Genomic DNA, 18,756 nt, shown 5'->3' on the forward strand with positions numbered 1-18,756 from the left:
AGGATACAAAATCAATGTGCAAAAATCACAAGCATTCTTATACACCAACAACAGACAAACAGAGAGCCAAATCATGAGTGAACTCCCATTCACAATTGCTTCAAAGAGAATAAAATACCTAGGAATCCAACTTACAAGGGATGTGAAGGACCTCTTCAAGGAGAACTACAAACCGCTGCTCAAGGAAATAAAAGAGGATACAAACAAATGGAAGAACATTCCATGCTCATGGGTAGGAAGAATCAATATCGTGAAAATGGCCATACTGCCCAAGGTAATTTACAGATTCAATGCCATCCCCATCAAGCTACCAATGCCTTTCTTCACAGAATTGGAAAAAACTACTTTAAAGTTCATATGGAACCAAAAAAGAGCCCGCATCGCCAAGGCAATCCTAAGCCAAAAGAACAAAGCTGGAGGCATCACACTACCTGACTTCAAACTATACTACAAGGCTACAGTAACCAAAACAGCATGGTACTGGTACCAAAACAGAGATATAGATCAATGGAACAGAACAGAGCCCTCAGAAATAATGCCGCATATCTACAACTATCTGATCTTTGACAAACCTGAGAAAAACAAGCAATGGGGAAAGGATTCCCTGTTTAATAAATGGTGCTGGGAAAACTGGCTAGCCATATGTAGAAAGCTGAAACTGGATCCCTTCCTTACACCTTATACAAAAATCAATTCAAGATGGATTAAAGACTTAAACGTTAGACCTAAAACCATAAAAACCCTAGAAGAAAACCTAGGCTTTACCATTCAGGACATAGGCATGGGCAAGGACTTCATGTCTAAAACACCAAAAGCAATGGCAACAAAAGACAAAATTGACAATTGGGATCTAATTAAACTAAAGAGCTTCTGCACAGCAAAAGAAACTACCATCAGAGTGAACAGGCAACCTACAAAATGGGAGAAAATTTTCACAACCTACTCATCTGACAAAGGGCTAATATCCAGAATCTACAATGAACTCAAACAAATTTACAAGAAAAAAACAAACAACCCCATCAAAAAGTGGGCGAAGGACATGAACAGACACTTCTCAAAAGAAGACATTTATGCAGCCAACAGACACCTGAAAAAATGCTCATCATCACTGGCCATCAGAGAAATGCAAATCAAAACCACAATGAGATACTATCTCACACTAGTTAGAATGGCAATCATTAAAAAGTCAGGAAACAACAGGTGCTGGAGAGGATGGGGAGAAATAGGAACACTTTTACACTGTTGGTGGGACTGTAAACTAGTTCAACCATTGTGGAAGTCAGTGTGGCGATTCCTCAGGGATCTAGAACTGGAAATACCATTTGACCCAGCCATCCCATTACTGGGTATATACCCAAAGGACTATAAATCATGCTGCTATAAAGACACATGCACACATATGTTTATTGTGGCATTATTCACAATAGCAAAGACTTGGAACCAACCCAAATGTCCAACAATGATAGACTGGATTAAGAAAATGTGGCACATATACACCATGGAATACTATGCAGCCATGAAAATGGATGAGTTCATGTCCTTTGTAGGGACATGGATGAAATTGGAAGTCATCATTCTCAGTAAACTATCGCAAGAACAAAAAACCAAACACTGCATATTCTCACTCATAGGTGGGAATTGAACAATGAGATCACATGGACACAGGAAGGGGAATATCACACTCTGGGGACTGTTGTAGGGTGGGGGGAGGGGGGAGGGATAGCATTGGGAGATATACCTAATGCTAGATGACGAGTTGGTGGGTGCAGCGCACCAGCATGGCACATGTATACATATGTAACTAACCTACACAATGTGCACATGTACCCTAAAACTTTAATAAAAAATAAATAAAAAATAAAAATAAATAAATAAATTTAGTTATCAGATTAAAAAAAAGAAAGAGCTCGTGGGGAGCAGAGGTCCTCCGCCTTTGCAGACTCACTGTTGACATTTTAGGACAAGCATTTTATAACTTCCTTTTACCATCCTGAAATAAAATTTCTAGATCGGGTGGCCAGCCTACACACAAACCGCAAAAAGAAATCATCTAATAAAAAAGAAAGGGGCCTGGCACAGTGACTTACACCTATAATCCCAGCACTTTAGGAGGCCCAGGTGGGTGGATCACTTCGGATCAGGGATTCCAGACCAGTCTGGTCAACATGGTGAAACCCCATCTCTACTAAAAATACAAAAATTAGCCGGGTGTGGTGGCGCATGCCTGTAATCCCAGCTACTCAGTAGACTGAGGCAGGAGAATCACTTGAACCCAGGAGGCGGAGGTTGCAGTGAGCCAAGATCGCGCCACTGCACTCCAGCCTGGGCAACAGGGCAAGACTCTGTCTCAATTTAAAAAAAAAAAAAAAAAAAGGAGAAAATTGAGACATGAAAATGCACCAGAACAGGGCTTCTCAAACTCGAGCATGTACAAAAATTGCCCAAACATTCTATTAAAATGCAGGTTCCAAATCAGCAGCTTGGGGTGGGCCCTGTATTCTGCATTTCTGACAAGCTCTAGGTGATCCCAGTACTGCTGTTATATGGACCACCCTCAGAGTAACAACATCCTAGAAGATGTAATGAGGCAGTCAGATGTGCGCCATAGGCAGACTCACCGTGAACATGTCAGTGGTAAACGCAGAGCAATATGGGTGGATTGAATGGGGGTCTTGAGGATCATGAACAGTAATACAAAGGTGACTTGATTTTCTAAAATGGCAAATAACTCCCATTAAATTCCAAATAAAGCAAAATACAGGTTCTCTTTGTCAGATAAGCTTTATTTCTGGAAATTACAATGTGTGTTAAACTGTGCAGAAAAGACTTTGTGTTTATATGTAAAACAGAGTTAAGTTCTAGCCTCAGATAATTATAAAAAGGTTTTGAACCAAAGACAATTTTGTCCTCCACGCCCAATGGGCATTTGACAGTGTCTAGACACAACTTCAGTTGTCACAACTCAGGGGTAAAGCAGATGCTGCTGGCATCTAGTGGGTAGAAGCCAGGGATGAGGCTGAATATCTACAATGCATAGACGGGCGGCCCCCACCAAAAGGAAGTATCTATCTGGCTGAAAATATTAACAGGGCCAAGTTAGAGAAAAACTGGCTTGCAGAGATATTTTCAAAAATGGTACAGACTGAGAGTAATGGCTCACACCTATAATCCCAATACTTTGGGAGGACGAGGCGGGAGGATCACTCGAGCCCAGGAGTTGAAGACCAGCATGGACAACATAACCCAGGTTTTTGTTTTTTTTTTTTTTTTGAGATGGAGTTTCACTCTTGTTGCCCAGGCTAGAGTGCAACGATGTGATCTCGACTCACTGCAACCTCCACCTGCTGGGTTCAAATGATTCTCCTGCCCCAGCCTCCTGAGTAGCTGGGATTACAGGCGCCTGCCACCACCACCAGCTAATTTTTGTATTTTTAATAGAGACTGGGTTTCTCCATGTTGGCCAGGCTGGTCTTTAACTCCTGACCTCAGGTGATCCACCTGCCTCAGCCTCCCAAAGTGCTGGGATTACAAGCATGAGCCACCGTGCCCAGCCAACCCAGGTGTTTTTGTAGAGACTCCATCTCTACAAAAAAATTTAAAAATTAGCCTACTGTGGTGGCATGCGCCTGTAGTACCAGCTACTCAGGCAGCTGAATCAGGAGGTTCACTTGAGCCCAGGAGATCAAGGCTGCAGTGAACTATGATCGTGCCACTGCACTCCAGCCTGAATGACAGAGCAAGACCCTACCTTCTAAAAAAAAAAAAAAGAAAAAAATAAAAAATGGGTGCAGGATGATGGACAACAGCACCTTGTGTGAAACTGTCTCACACATTGCAAGGAGCCTCACGTTCCCAGCCCCTAACCACTAAATGCCAGCAGTGCCCCCTTTTAGCAACCATAAGACATGCCCTAAAAATGGGAGTGTCGCATAAGAACAACAGCAGAGAGTGAAGAGAGAAGGGGGTAGGCAGGAGGAAGGCAAGAAGAGTAGGAGCCAGCCAAAATGCTGTGCCAGGGGATGAGAAAGGCTGGCATGGCCAAATTAAAGCATATGTCATTCTACGCATCTGTTGGTGGCTCTGTAATTAATACAAAAATAATTACATCTCTTCGCCTGGCTCTCCCTCACAAACTACTTAATGAACACTGCCAAGAACTTTTTAGATATGTAATTAAATTTTTTATTTATTTCCATTTTATTTTTATAGTAGTAGCTCAATATATTAGAAAAAAAAATGCAGCAGCAAAGCCCAGCCTCAACTACCATTTGAGAGGCAACTAACAGTATCCACTTCCTTTTTTTCTCAATCTGTTCTATGCAATTCATTCTGAACAGCAGGAAATACTAACAACAGTTCTCTTATTCCCCTTCCCTTCATTTTTCAGGTTTAATTATCTGCCAGGATCTCCTCTTTAGGCACAGAGAGAAATGAGGTTTTTACTTTACTTTTCTTTTAATATAAGAAATAATTTGGCTAGGCACGGTGCCTCATGCCTGTAATCCCAACACTTTGGGAGGTCAAGGCAATAGGATTGCTTGAGTTCAGGAGTTCAAGACTAGCCTGGGCAACGTGGCGAAACCCTGTCTCTACAAAAAATACAAAAAAATTAGCCGGATGTCCTGGTGCACACCTGTGGTCCCAGCTTTTCAGGAGGCTGAGGTGGGAGGATCACCTGAGCCCAGGAGGCAGAGGTTGCAGTGAACAAAGATCATGCCACTGTACTCAAGCCACTCTGGGTGACAGAGTGAGACCCTGTCTCAAAAAAAATAGAAAAAAAAAAGAATTTTAAAAAAATAATAGTGTGTTGTCCCAAAGTGGTCCAAGATTTGGATCTTCTCTTTACCCTTCTTCAAGTATAGGAACACTGACCTTTCCAAAAGCCCCCACCACTTCCATCAGTCATGGTGGGATCCAGGAGACTTCTCCAATAGAAATACTCCCATAGCTAAGTTTCATAAAAGACATAGGTATCTGAAATTTAAAAGTAACTATACTCAGATAATGGCCGGGTGCAGTGGCTTACGCCTGTACTCCCAGCACTTCAGGAGGCCGAGGTGGGTGGATCTCCTGAGGTCGGGAGATCGAGACCAGCCTGACCAACATGGAGAAAGCTTCATCTCTACTAAAAATACAAAATTAGCCAGGCATGGTGGCGTATGCCTGTAATCCCAGCTACTCGGGAGGCTGAGGCAGGAGAATTGCTTGAATCCGGGAGGTAGAAGTTGCAGTGAGTCGAGATATCGTGCCATTGCACTGCAGCCTGGGCAACAAGAGCGAAACTCCATCTCATAAAAAAAAAAAAAAAAAAAAAAAAAAGTAACTATACTCAGATATTCTTGGGAAAACGCCTCTAAATCACTAATAATGTCAATGTTCAGCACTTGAAAACAATACCAAATTATTACAAGCCGTATAAGAAGCAGTGGTTGAAGAGACAAGAATGACCACAGGCCCAACATCTTTACATCTCTTAACCCTCTGTTTCCTAGGTTGAAAGTGTAGAAATTATGATCTCCTGAACTGCAGCATTGTGAAGTTGACACAAGGTGAAGCAATGTCACATTGTCACCACAACAGGATCCTTTCATGCTGAGATCCAAAAAAGCCAGATAACCTGAGTCAAGAATCACAGAAAGTCAATAACAAAATCAGGACTGAGGTCTTGAGAACTGGAAAACTTCCTTGGTTTTCACACAGGAATCTGTCATTTGTGCTTATTTCACATTGCATGCCTGTATCAAAACATCTCATGTACACCATAACTATATACACCTACTATGTGCACACAAAAATTAAAAATAGGGCTGCACATGGTGGCTCACGCCTGTAATCCCAGCACTTTGGGAGGCCAAGGCAGGGAGAATGGCTTGAGCCCAGGAGTTCAAGACCAGCCTGGGCAACGTGGCGAAACCCTGTCTCTACAAAAAATACAAAAAAATTAGCCAGGTGTGCTGGTGCACACCTGTGGTCCCAGTTTTTCAGGAGGCTGAGGTGGGAAGATCACCTGAGCCCAGGAGGCAGAGGTTGTAGGGAGCCAAGATCAAGCCACTATACTCAAGCCGGGGCAACAGAGTGAGACTCTGTCTCAAAAAAAACAGAAAAAGAAAAAGAAATAATTTTTAAAAAATAATAATGTGTTTTCCCAAAGTGGTCCAAGATTCAGATCTTCTCTTTACCCTTCTTCAAGTGTAGGAACACTGACCTTACCAAAAGCCCACCAGTTCCATCAGTCATGGTGGGATCCAGGAGACTTCTCCAATAGAAATACTCCCATAGCTAAGTTTTATAAAAGACATAGTTATCTGAAATTTTAAAATAACTATACTCAGATAATGGCCAGGTGCAGTGGCTCACGCCTGTAATCTCAGCACTTTGGGAGGCCAAGGCGGGGAGAATGGCTTGGCCTGGGCAACATGGCAAAACCCTGTCTGTACAAAAAATACAAAAGAATAAACCAGGTGTGCTAATGCACACTTGTCCCAGCTTTTCAGGAGGCTGAGGTGGGAGGATCCCCTGAGCCCAGGAGGCTCTACAAAATACAAAACTTAGCCGGGCATGGTGGCGCACCTGTAGTCCCAGCTACTCAGGAGGCTAACGTGGGAGGATGGATTGAGCCCAGGAGATCGAGGCTGCAGTCAGCTGTGATTGCACCACTGCACTCTAGCGTGGGTGACAGAACAAAACCCTGTCCCCCACCTCCCCCATCCCCAAACAAAACAAAACAAATTTTTAATTAAAAAATTAAAAAACAAAAAGGATCTGTCATGAAGGTATTTTTCAGCAAACAACACTCAGGTATATTTGTGAATCTTAAATAGGGAAGAAAAGAGTTATCAAATAAACCTGGCAAGTACTGAGTTAAGTAAAGACACACTATGTTTGGTTTGATTTTAATTGCAGGACTTCTCAGAGTCTTTAATATGTTAATGTGTGTTGTGAATTTCCAAGACAGGAACTATAATAAAATCATTATTTTCTTTCTCCTTACTTTCATTCCCAGGACAAACTTTGCCCTAAGAGAAACTCAGTTAGAAAAGTCTGGGTGTTGATTTAATGTGGAGCCACTTCAAGGAAGTGATAATAAAACAAAGTTCCATGAAATTGATATCATATTAATATCATGGTCAAAGAGGAGAAAATGACAGCCTGCAGTAGGCCTGGTGTGAAACAGTCCTTCAGCCAGGACTTCACTCTTGTTTCACAGTGTAATGCCATTGCAGTTTCCAAAAGTCCACCAATTTGTGGTCTCCACTTTTCCTTTGACCCATCTCTCTTCTTCCAACCACATGATCACCCTCCTTTAAGCTTCTAGACCTGCCAGAGGATCTCAACCAACTCAAAACAAAGATTGCCAGGGACCCTTTTTCTCTCAAGTGCACATCTAATGTCAAAGGGAAATGGTTCTCTCCACTGATGGTGATCAAGGCATTCACCTGTAATCTAGGTAGGGTGGTGCCTGTCATGAGCTTGGAAGCTTCAGAGTAGGAAGGACTAAATTTAAAGCCATCCTCTGCTTTTTATTAGCTGTGAACCCTAGGACAAGTCACTTACTTTTATCTCTCTCTTTTTTTTTTTTTTTTTTTTTAAGACAGAGTCTCACTCTGTTGCCCAAGCTGGAATGCAGTGGTGCGATCTTGGCTCACTACAACCTCCGCCTCCCAGGTTCAAGCGATTCTCATGCCTCAGCCTCCTGAGTAGCTGGAATTTCAGAGGTGCACCACCATGCCCAGCTAATTTTTGTGTTTTTAGTAGAGACAGAGTTTCGCCATGCTTACTAGGCTGGTCTTGATCTCATAGCCTCATGTGATCCGCCCGCCGTTGCCTCCCAAGGTGCTGGGATTACAGGCGTGCACCACCATGCTCGTCCTTTATCTCTCATTTTTAAAATGAGATTGTTTCAAGAGTTAACAGTAATGTGTATAAAGTGACTGGAATTTGGTAGATACATAATAACTGGTTGCTAGTATTCCAGTCATACTATTCCTTACCAAGGAATAGTTTCAAATGTCTGTTATGATTATCTTGTGCATCATTTCTGTACACATATCAAATGTCATCTGATTTTCAATTTGTCTTTATCCTTCCACTAGAAATTTGGAAGCTTTCCTTTTCTAAAAAGACTAATCATATTTAGGTTCAGTGTTTTTTCTCACTAAAATGAACATTACCACCAAATAACAAGATGTAAACAAGAAACTTCACTCAGATTGGGCTGAAGGAAATTGCATGCTTTCCACACAGTAATCCAGAGCAAAGTTCTTGGAAAGAAAAATCACCCTGTTATTAAGTAGCACTTCTCTACCGAAAACGTTCCTATCTTTTGACAGGAATTCCACACTTAAGAATTTAAGCCTATGAAAATATTCCAGCATACAGAAAAGCTTGAAACGCAAAGATGTTCATCATAGTGTTATGTATTATTGAATAAAAATTGCAAACATTAAATGTCCAATATTACATTATCGTAGTATCATAAACTATTATAATGTATGTGATAGAACTTCTACAGCTGTTTATACTGATGCTTTCCAGTGAAGAAATACCTCCAGACAGGTGCCTCATATAGTCAGCATATATAACTATGTAAACCTAACGAAATGCATGGGAAGGCCAGACACAGTGGCTCACACCTGTAATCCCAGCTCTTTGGGAGGCTGAGGCAGGCGGATCACTTGAGGTCAGGAGTTCAAGACTAGCCTGGCCAACATGGTGAAACCCTGTCTCTACTAAAAATACAAAAATTAGCTGGGCATGGTGATGCATGTCTGTAATCCCAGCTACTCGGGAGGCTGAAGCAGGAGAATTACTTGAACCCAAGAGGCGGAGGTTGTAATGAACCCACATCGTGCCACTGCACTCCAGCTTGGGTGACAGAGCAAGGCTCCAGCACAAAAAAAAAAAGCATGGGAAAAGAAAAGACTAGAAGGAAATACAGCAGAACGTGAATGAGAGCTTTAAGCCTAGTATGACCATAGGTTAATAGGTTGTTTTGTTTTTGTTTTTCCAAAAAGCTTTATAGTGAAAAAAATCATACATTATGTATATGTATTTCTAATTGCAGTAAAATACACACAACATAAAATTTATCATTTTCACTATTAAGTGCACAGTTGAGTGGCTTTGAGTACATTCAGATTGTTGTACAAACATAACAATGTCCATCTACAGAATTTTTCATCTTACAAAAGATGAAACTGAAACTGCTCTGAGTGAACAAGAATTCTTATTGCTTTTCCCACCTCATCCCCAGTCCCTGGCAACCATCATTCCTCTTTCTGTTTCTATGAGTTTGACTACCTCTAGATATGTTATATAGGTATAACCATATAATATATTTCTTTTTGTGACTGGCTTATTTTCACTTAGCATAATATTCTCAGGGTTCATCCATGTTGTAGAACGTGTCAGAATTTCTTCCATTTTTAGGGCTAATATTCCGTCGCATGTACATATCACATTTGCTTATCCACTCATCCGTTGGACACTTGGGTTGCTTCTGAGTTTTGGCTATTGTGAATAGTGTTGCTATGAACACGGGTGTTCAAATATCCTTTCCATACATTATATTAAAAATATTTTTTTTCTTAAAGTTGCAACTTTTTGGCCAGTCTAGGTGGCTCAAGCCTGTAATCTCAGCACCTTGAGAGGCTGAGGTGGGAGGATTGCTTGAGCCCAGGAATCTGAGATAGGCTCTGCAAAATAAAAAATAAACCTAGTCAGGCATGATGGAGTGTGCCTGCGGTTCCAGCCACTCAGGAGGCTGAGGTGGGAGGATCACTTGGGCCTGGCAGGTTGAGGTTGCCGTGAGCCGTGATGATGCCACTGCACAAGTATAGCGACAAAGCGAGACTCTGTCTCAAAAGGAAAAGAATAAGAAAATTGCAACTTTCTTTTTAGATACAGAGGGTACATGTGCAGTTTGTTGCATGGGAATATTGCATGATGGTGAGCTGTGGGGTATGGATCTCATCACCCAGGCAGTGAGCATAGTACCTGATAGGCAGTTTTTCAAACCATTTCCTCCTTCCTCCCTCCCCAGCCCCAGTAGACCCTAGCGTCTGTTGTTCGCATGTTTACATCCATCTGTGCTCAGTGTTTAGCTCCCACTTATGAGTGAGAACATACAGTATTTAAATAGTTTTTTTCTCAAAGTTGACTCCTCCTTTTCATGTTTCACAGTCTGGTTATATAACTAGGACTCTACTCAGAACATTTGGACAAATAAAGTAGTGGAGGTGGGCAAGGTGATCACCCTGGGGAAAAAATCACCTGGGCTACACCTCAGAAAATAATGCATCTTTCTGTTGTTCTGATTCCCATTACAGGACGAATGCCTTAGTTTCCACTTTCCAGCCTGGATCCCCTCACACTGAACCCTTCTTCGTTGCACCATCCTGCTTCTGACATTGAACTCATTGAACTCCTCCTGACACCCTGGCTCTGAGAAGACTGCCAAAAAAAAAAAAAAAAAAAAATCACCCCAGCCATTTCTCTTCATCCTCACTAACAATTTGGTAATGAAGTATTGATTTCCACTTCTCTGCTTATGGGCGGTATTAGATTTTCATTGATAAATTGCAATGGGGCTGTCTCGTCTCCACAGTACCCTTTTCACTGTCACAAGAAAACAAAGTGCCACCGAAGAAAAGTAATGACTGAGAGCATTGATGTACTTATTTTGTCAGTTTGTAACAGGAAAGTGGGGGGGAGTCTAAGTCTTCATAGTCTAATGTCCAAGTGGGTTGCACTAGATGTAGACACTTGGAGGCTTACTTTTCATGGTAATGTCCATTTCCTATTTATAACCCCTCTGGGAACGTTTGTCTAAAGGAAATGTTTCTGTTCAGTGTAACAATTACAGTTGCACCTGGATTGCCCAGTCCTGCCCCTGCACTAGGGGACCATTAATCACTGCAAAGTAGAAGAATTATTAAGTTAAACCAGAGTTTGAGCCAAGAAAACCCCTGAACAATGTTCATCTTCTGTGAAACTTGCTCAAATAGTTAAGCTTAACCATGTTGCTGCCAAAGACTTTTCCTATGCAGTGGTGGGGCACCTTGATCATCATCATTATCTTGATTGGCTGAAAAAAAAATAGTTTTAAGCACACACCACTGTCTATGAGAACTGCAAATTGGGAGAATAGGTGAAATGCAGAATCTGAGAGAACGCGAGAAGATGAGATCATTACAGGGTGGAAAGTTCTGCAGCAGCCTTTTCTGGTAATCCCTTTCTGCAGAACCTGATGTTTATGGGCTCTAAAACGCAGCTTAGCTTTAGAAGCAACAGAAAGCATGAAATAGGGTGTCCATTTTAAATGTGTTCCTGCAACTTTTTTCATTAAAACTTTGAGGGCCCAATTTTAATTTGTGGAATATTCCCGTTAATAATGAGATCTAATTAAGACATCCATTAAAAGCCCGTTAAAGTTAATTTAACGTAAAAATTCCAATAGAACTGTATTAGATTTTCTCCATTAAATTAACGTTATGGATTTTTAACGGATGTCTTAATTATACGTTATTATTAACGGGAATACTGTATTACACAGATTAAAATCAGGTCCTAAGTCAACTTGGAAGAGCTAAGAGCATGTTTTAATATTAAAAGTCTTGCATACCTAGTGCACAGTTTGGAGACGCAAGGATAGATCTGTTTACTCTAGTTGAACATTTTCTATACAATTGAAAGCAACCTATAATAGATAAATCCATCATTGCATTTAAACAATGAATTTCCTTATTCTCAAAGGACAAATACGTCTGGATTATGTGGTAAATTGCTACTCAGCTATGGTGAAATATTTATACTATTCTAGGCACAACACTAGGAACTAGGTGATTCTGAAACAAAAGGAATATTTTCTGTTGTTGCTTTAATTACCAAGGTTATTTTTTTTTAATCTCAACACTGACAAAATGAAACCAAATATCTCTTCCTCACCATTTCTCAAGGAGGCTGCCTGTTGGAATTGTTTTGGAAATTTTGACATGATCCCTAAATTCAACATTGGGATTAAAAAAAAAAAAAAACTTCTTATTTACCTCCTAGGGAAAGTGTTGCCCTTATGCCACATATAATAGCAAATTGCTTTTTTTATGGCATGCATAACCTAGATGGGAAAAAATATGGCGCTTCGGGGAAGGAGGGAAAAAGTAAATGAAGTTCCAGGAATGTCATTCTGAAGTAATGAGGCATGGACAGAAAATATACCCCTCACATCATCGGATTGAGATGGCAGTCGAAATAGCTTCATTGAAGTGTCAGCACTCATCCATCAATCAATCACCCACAAGGAAAAATAGCAACAGTACAACGGGGTGGCTTTTATGGGATTTACTCATGGGCATAGGGAATAGCGGCTCAAATGTAGTTCTGACATGAAAAGCAAGGTGCTGATATTATTTTTTATGATGGGAGGATCATAAAGTGAATTGAGAACAGTGAGGTCTGTCTTTGCTTAACCTATTCAACCAGAAATGAATGGAGCTCGACTGGAAAGGAACAGTCTTCAGATGGGTTAAGATTGAAGGGTGGACTGGACTCTACTGAGCACCGTCCTTCAACAAGGAAATTCTATTAAAGGAAAATCAATGCATTAGTATTGGGGTTCTCGTAGCTGTTAAAAATTGTCTGCTCCAATCCAGGGTTATTAGGCCAAAGTTACATAATTCAGATCTCACTGCAACCATCCAAAAGTGGATTCTCGAGCCCTTGCTCCAATGGGGGGAGGAGATCAATACAATTCCCAATTCCATGGAAATTGTTTCCCTTCTAAGGAAGAAAAAATAAATCATCTGCTTCAACATATAATCGATATGGTTTTGTTAGCGTAATTTCTATGGTGGGTGGGGTGGGAGGTGAGAGAAAAAAATATTGATAAATTTGGTAAGACAGGTGAATTGCCGCCTGGCAACCGTGCATGTCACTGCCGAGGGATGGCTGCTAAGGTTCACCTTAGAAAACAAGATCTGGGCTGGCACTGGGGCATACATCACCACTCAGCATATTCCTAGAGGCCAGGCCTGTCTTCACTCAGCCAGCCCTCTGAGGCTTCTAGAAACTTCTTTCTGGAGGAAAAAAACTAAATAACATAAACTCAGGAGAATGTCTTTACCCACCTTCATACCACTGCTTTCTTTTTGCTGAATAAAACACAGTTCTGATAAGTAAGAACTTTAGAATTGGAAAGGAGGCTGACATGCAAATATAATGCAAATTACCCTCAAGTATCGCCATTCTTCCACCACCTCTTGGTACCAGTGAGAGCGAGAGATTGCCTTTTCTTCCCCATCCCTCCTTCCAGCTAAGACCACCAACCAGCTGCAAATTGAGATGTCCATTTAAAAATTTATATGTCAATATTTAAATGTTACATATTTGGCCCTATTTTGTAGTTCAGCAAATCCTCCAAATACACAGCATGTTACAAGGCACTGGTGGCACAGGGCACAACAGGAAATGATATTTATTTAGCAAATTCATTTAACAAATATTATTGGGCACCTGTTATGTGAGACACTGTCCTAGGCACTGTGGGATAACAACAGCAAACACTTCACACAACAGCCTGGCCTTCCTGTGTTTTACAACAGCTCCTAAAGATAGCTGATATCAAGACATTTGAGGGACACAGTTCATGTAGAATCAAAATATTAGTATTTCAGAATAAGGATTTTTTTTCTGAAAAGCATACAGAGAGGAAACAGCTTAAAAATAGGTCAAGACCTAAAAACAGAATATAATCACGGAATAAACTGGATAACCCAGACAGTCCCCACAGAATTTCTTTCAGGTCACAGATTTCTTAAAACTCACCCCCAAAATGTGCCTGCTTGGTTGTTTGAATCTTGCATAATTAATGTCACAGGCGCAAGCCGCTGAACTTAGTTGAGATGCAGAAAACAAACAAATGCAATGACATATCTGAGAAGCATTTATGTAACTCCGGTTAAGTGGTGAGGAGGGGTGTGTGAAGACAGTGTGCATGCATGAGTGTGTATTCATATATATGTGTATACATATGAATTTCACTGTTATTTTCCAGGGTCTATGGACAATGTGGCAGTAAGAGTCTATGATGTTCTGAAACTTTTCACAGTAAATCCAAAGATTACAGACCTTACAAGGTGCTTGCATTCTGTTGCTTTTCCATCTGTCACTTCTCAGGTTATTTGACTGTGTTCAAACCTTCTTTTCTTTTTCATTGAGTTTCATTTTTTAAGCTTGTTAAATGCTTTTGTTTAAAAAAAAAAAAAAAACCCCAAATGTCATTTTTCACATTATCCTCTCTTCTCTGCAACAAGGATAGTAAGATGTAGATGAATGCAAAAATAATAACAACAATAAGGAAATATATTAAAGCTTTAAAATATGCACATATGTAGTTCTAAAGAGCAATAACGGTAGTATCTATTTCGAACATGCATTAGGCAAAAAAGAAATCAAAACTGAAATTTTCGTGTATTTTTCCCCTTGTAAGATGTTCAAATGCTAACTTCATTTTCTCCTTTCCTCTATGTGGCACTTTCTCAAAATATCTATGAAATACTTTTAGACAAAGATTGAGCTGGAGAAAGAGATACAAATTTCCATCCCCCCAGACAGAGAGACATATTTCCATTGTAGGAAGGCATTAAACATTTTGAAACTTGTGAATCATCTTTAGAATTTCTACTGGGGAATTTTACTTCTTCATCCAAAGTAAAAGCCACTTATCTCCTTTGGTTCCCAGTGACAGATTCAGAGGCATACGCAGATATACAATTTTCAGGCTCTAGTTAATCTTCTTCCAATAGTTACGAACAATGGGCTAACAGGCGTGGGTGTTTCTCCAAAAATTATTCATGCACAAGGCAGCCCAAAGCTTCAGGGAAAACTAGAAATGTGTTATGGATTAGAATAGGACTGTTTTAAAATGCTAGTACCAGGTGGAACGCTATTTCTGCAACAGGACTCTGTCCATTTCCTTTGGAACAATATATTCCAAGTAAAATGGCTCTTCCAAGGAATGACACCTTTACTTGACACCCTTCGGCATACAAATGATTTTACCAATAGCCATGATTATTATTAAGGCCTTTTAAAATACAGGCTGTTTGAAAAAAGACAGATTAAATATTCACAGCCTTTGTATCATGGTTATTTGCTTAAAACAGCTTTTAGAAGTACAAGTAATAACTTTTTGATAAGAAACCCCAGGAGAAACTTTTTGGTAAGAAACCTCAAAAAATTTGAACAAAGGCATTACAAAAAAAAAAAAAAAACTAACCACTCCATTCAACTCTCTCAGAAAATAAATTTCAATGTGTTCAATGAATTGTCTTGAACCTGAAACCTGCATTTAGATATCAGTCCCCTGCCAATAGCTAATATTAACAGAATTTGAACAATCATACAATTATGTCTCAAATGTGAAGACTTTGTACAGTAATATTTTCACTTTCTAAATGACCCATATAACATTCAGGAATTATAGATGTGTATGTATATTTTTTAAGTACAGAAAGTTCAGCCAGTCTTCAGAGAAGTAAAAGTGATGTCTATTGTGCATTGAAGTAAATATTACAAACATTCCAGTTTCGCAATACAATACTTGAGCTTTCGAACACCTCAGACACTAGAATGTGTAATGCGAGTCAAAAAAGCTGACATACAAAACAATTCCCATTTGGCTCAGGGTTCCTAAATGTCACAATATCTTGGGTAAAATATACTTTTTGATTTCCTGATGATGTCCTTCTAATCCCTTCTGACTTTGATTCCTAACAGCCAGGCACTGTTGACATGAATCATTAACTTCCAAACCCCTTTAAAATCAAGAAGCTAGGTGATCATACAGTCATTTCAATGGCCAACCAGTTCTTGCTCTACAGAGCTTTTACACCTTTTTGGGAAACCTGATATCAAACACATTTATGTTATATATTTGCTCCCTTGCATTAATTCTAGATTTTTTTTTAATTTCTTTTAGAAAGGGCAGGGGGGAAGTGGGTCAGAGCAAGGTTCAAGAATCACATTCATCCTTGCTCTAAAGTGTTTACTTGCCAGCAAAGAAAGGCAAACACATTTTTATATTCAGAAAGCAGACCGGTCATTTTCAAAGAAAAATGACTGCAACCATGCCTGTAGAATGTTTCTGTGCAAGCGCACTAATTTTCTATCACCTGCATGCTGTATATAATACATTTGCCTGTATACTAGGAAGAAAAACCAGGCTGTTTTCCCTGAGTACAATGCAGCTTGGATGGCTGGGAGCGTAAGCCTTCCGTGCATTTTTATAGTGTACATATTTGTATATACTAACTATATCGCCATGTATGAACACAGATTTTGTTATATTTGCTTGTTTCTGTTTCCTACCAAACTGGCCCACAATGGGGATTCTTTTGTATAGAAAAAATATGCTTGTAATTTTTTCCTGGTCATTCTCTTTCAATAGCTTATGAAAGAATTAGATCTGAGTTTACAAAGAAACTATAAGAACCAAGTTTGTCTGTCTGCATGAGTCCCGTCCAATTGCTGGATCTAGGGAGGAACCAACTTCCTAATTCAGAGTTTTCCTTTTAAAGGCATGCTTTACCCCCATGGGAAAACTGCACACTCATCCATGTAGAATTATTCTCTTTGTATTTTATCTAATAGTGCCTGAAAATTTTTTTAATGTCTTCTTAGAAGAAGAATTCATAATTGTCAAAATTTGAAACATTAGCTTAATTTTGTTTTTATGACCTCAAGATTCTTCTCCTTATTTATTCGGTTGCTGTTGTAATGGGGCCCCAGGCCATTCCTGACATCGGCGTGTTCTTCTTCTGCATTAAGGATGTTTTTGAAATTACAGAGATTATTGAGCCAACAGGCTGTTTTAATCAAAACCATGTTTCACTTCTTTTTGATGATTATAAATTGTCCTTGCAATGAAAAAAAAAAAAGAACTTTTCTGCTAGGAAGATTATACCACCCTGTGGCCAAACAGATTCATCACAGATAGGCATCTATGCCCATTTCTCTGGGATCTGGAAAATTCTTCCCTTGGCTGACCCCAATTTCTTTTACTCCCCATTATCCTGAATATTAGCTTTCAATGCAGTCACTATTTGACATTTCCAAAGGCTTTGCCGCATTGTCACTGCCCAAAGACAAACAACCACTGGAAATGATGGCTTTCCTGCTTGAAACGAAGGGGGCCAGGTGCAGTGGCTCAAGCCTGTAACCCCTGCACTTTGGAAGGCTGAGGCAGGCGGATCACTTGAGGTCAGGAGTTTCAGACCAACCTGGCCAACATGGCAAAACCTCGTCTCTACTAAAAATACAAAAAACATTAGCAGGGCATGGTGGTGCGTGCCTGTAGTCCCAGCTACTTGGGAGGCTGAGGCAAGAGAATTGCTTGAGCCCGGGAGGCGAAGGTTGCAGTGAGCTGAGATGGTGCCACTGCACTCCAGCCTGGGCAACAGAGCAAGACTGTGTCTCAAAAAAAAAAAAAAGAATGGATTTTCAGAAAAAGTGCTCCCTTTCCTGTCCTGTGGTGCCACCATCCTGTCCTCCTTCGTAATCATGAACAATCTGATCTTGAACTCCCACATAACTTAAATCAGGCAAAAAGAAACATTCACAGCGTCCCCTTGCTGAATAAAAATGACTTTGTTTGGAGGCACTTAAGATGTATGCCTGTGTGTGGTGCCGCAGCATTGAAATTATCTGTAGAAGGGGAATTTTTTTTAAAAATACAATTTTATCACTAGAAATAAATTCCGATGGTGGAAACGAAGAAAACCCTTAAATTATATCACAAAAGCCATTATTTTTTGCATCCAAAGAGTTTTTTTTTTTAAGGAAAATCATTCTACTTTGAGAACTGTAATTAAAGCCCTAAATAACAGACACTACTTTGTTGAGCTATTGTGAAAAAAAAACAACACATTCGCCAAGGTTATATGGAGCCCCTGATTTCCATCAAAAAGGTTTCTATAAGTATATTATTTACATTTTTATACATGATAACTCTTGCCTTTGTGTTGAAAAAAAAAAAGTCTCTTTTTTTTCCCCCACTCAGCAGTTATTGGAAATAGACTGTTCCCATCTGAAACCGTATCGTAATTTGCATCAGGAAACCCAACTGCTGACATTGAGGACCTGGGTGTGTTCAATTATGATTTTGCTGGAGGCTGTCCCTCATTTTAATGCTGCAGCTATTGAACCACCTTCCTGAAACCTAGCTGATACGGAATAGCAGAGACATGCCTCTCAACACCATTAGCTTTGCAAATGGCTTCATTTCAGTCAACGTCGACTTCTGCTTTGGCCAATTGAAAAATGAAAATTAAAGGAGAGAAGAAAAAAAACACAGATGCACTTAAAACATGAAAAGAATTATTTATATGATAAAAATATATTTAGCTTTTCAAAGCACAAGACTGAATAGAAGTGCTCTTTTTATGCTTTCTGGAGATGTTACTGTTAAATGTCTTTCTACATCAGGCTTAATAAATCTGTAATGACATTTGATGGATTGATTTCTGCCTATGTGTGTTTTTTAAAGATGGCAAGAGAGGAAAAAGGCAAGAGAGGGGGGATGAGGGCGGGAAAGAACAGCACCGACCCCCGGGGAGGCTAAGCGAGGACGTTATTGGTAGGCCTCTCTGTGGTTGGGACCCGCTGACCCACTTCCAGAATCTCCCCTCATCTCCATCAGATTTCCTTTTTTTTTTTTTTTTTTTTTTAACAAATGCCAGCACCCCTTGTTTGGTTTCTGGG

The 18,756-nt window shown here is 40.0% G+C and overlaps 1 protein-coding gene and 1 long non-coding RNA gene across 12 annotated transcripts in view; one reads left to right on the forward strand and one right to left on the reverse strand.

The window, feature by feature from the left end:
* The window catches only part of TSHZ2 (teashirt zinc finger homeobox 2), a 522,973-nt gene extending 504,458 nt beyond the window's left edge, over positions 1-18,515 (forward strand). For 3 of the 10 annotated variants that reach the window (NM_173485.6, XM_017027641.2, NM_001193421.2), the window contains exon 3: positions 10,329-18,515. Coding sequence is in view for 3 of the 10 variants with exons in the window: in XM_017027641.2 (XP_016883130.1) it covers positions 10,329-10,330 (2 nt within the window). In the remaining 7 variants the exon portion in view is untranslated. The remainder of the gene's footprint in view (positions 1-10,328) is intronic. The other 7 variants (XM_047439873.1, XM_047439878.1, XM_047439879.1 and 4 more) reach the window with 6 other exon arrangements.
* The window catches only part of TSHZ2-AS1 (TSHZ2 antisense RNA 1), a 72,348-nt gene that overhangs the window by 44,845 nt on the left and 8,747 nt on the right, over positions 1-18,756 (reverse strand). The window lies entirely within an intron of this gene.

The sequence above is a fragment of the Homo sapiens genome, chromosome 20 (assembly GCF_000001405.40).
Source record: "Homo sapiens chromosome 20, GRCh38.p14 Primary Assembly".
Lineage (NCBI taxonomy): Eukaryota > Metazoa > Chordata > Mammalia > Primates > Hominidae > Homo > Homo sapiens.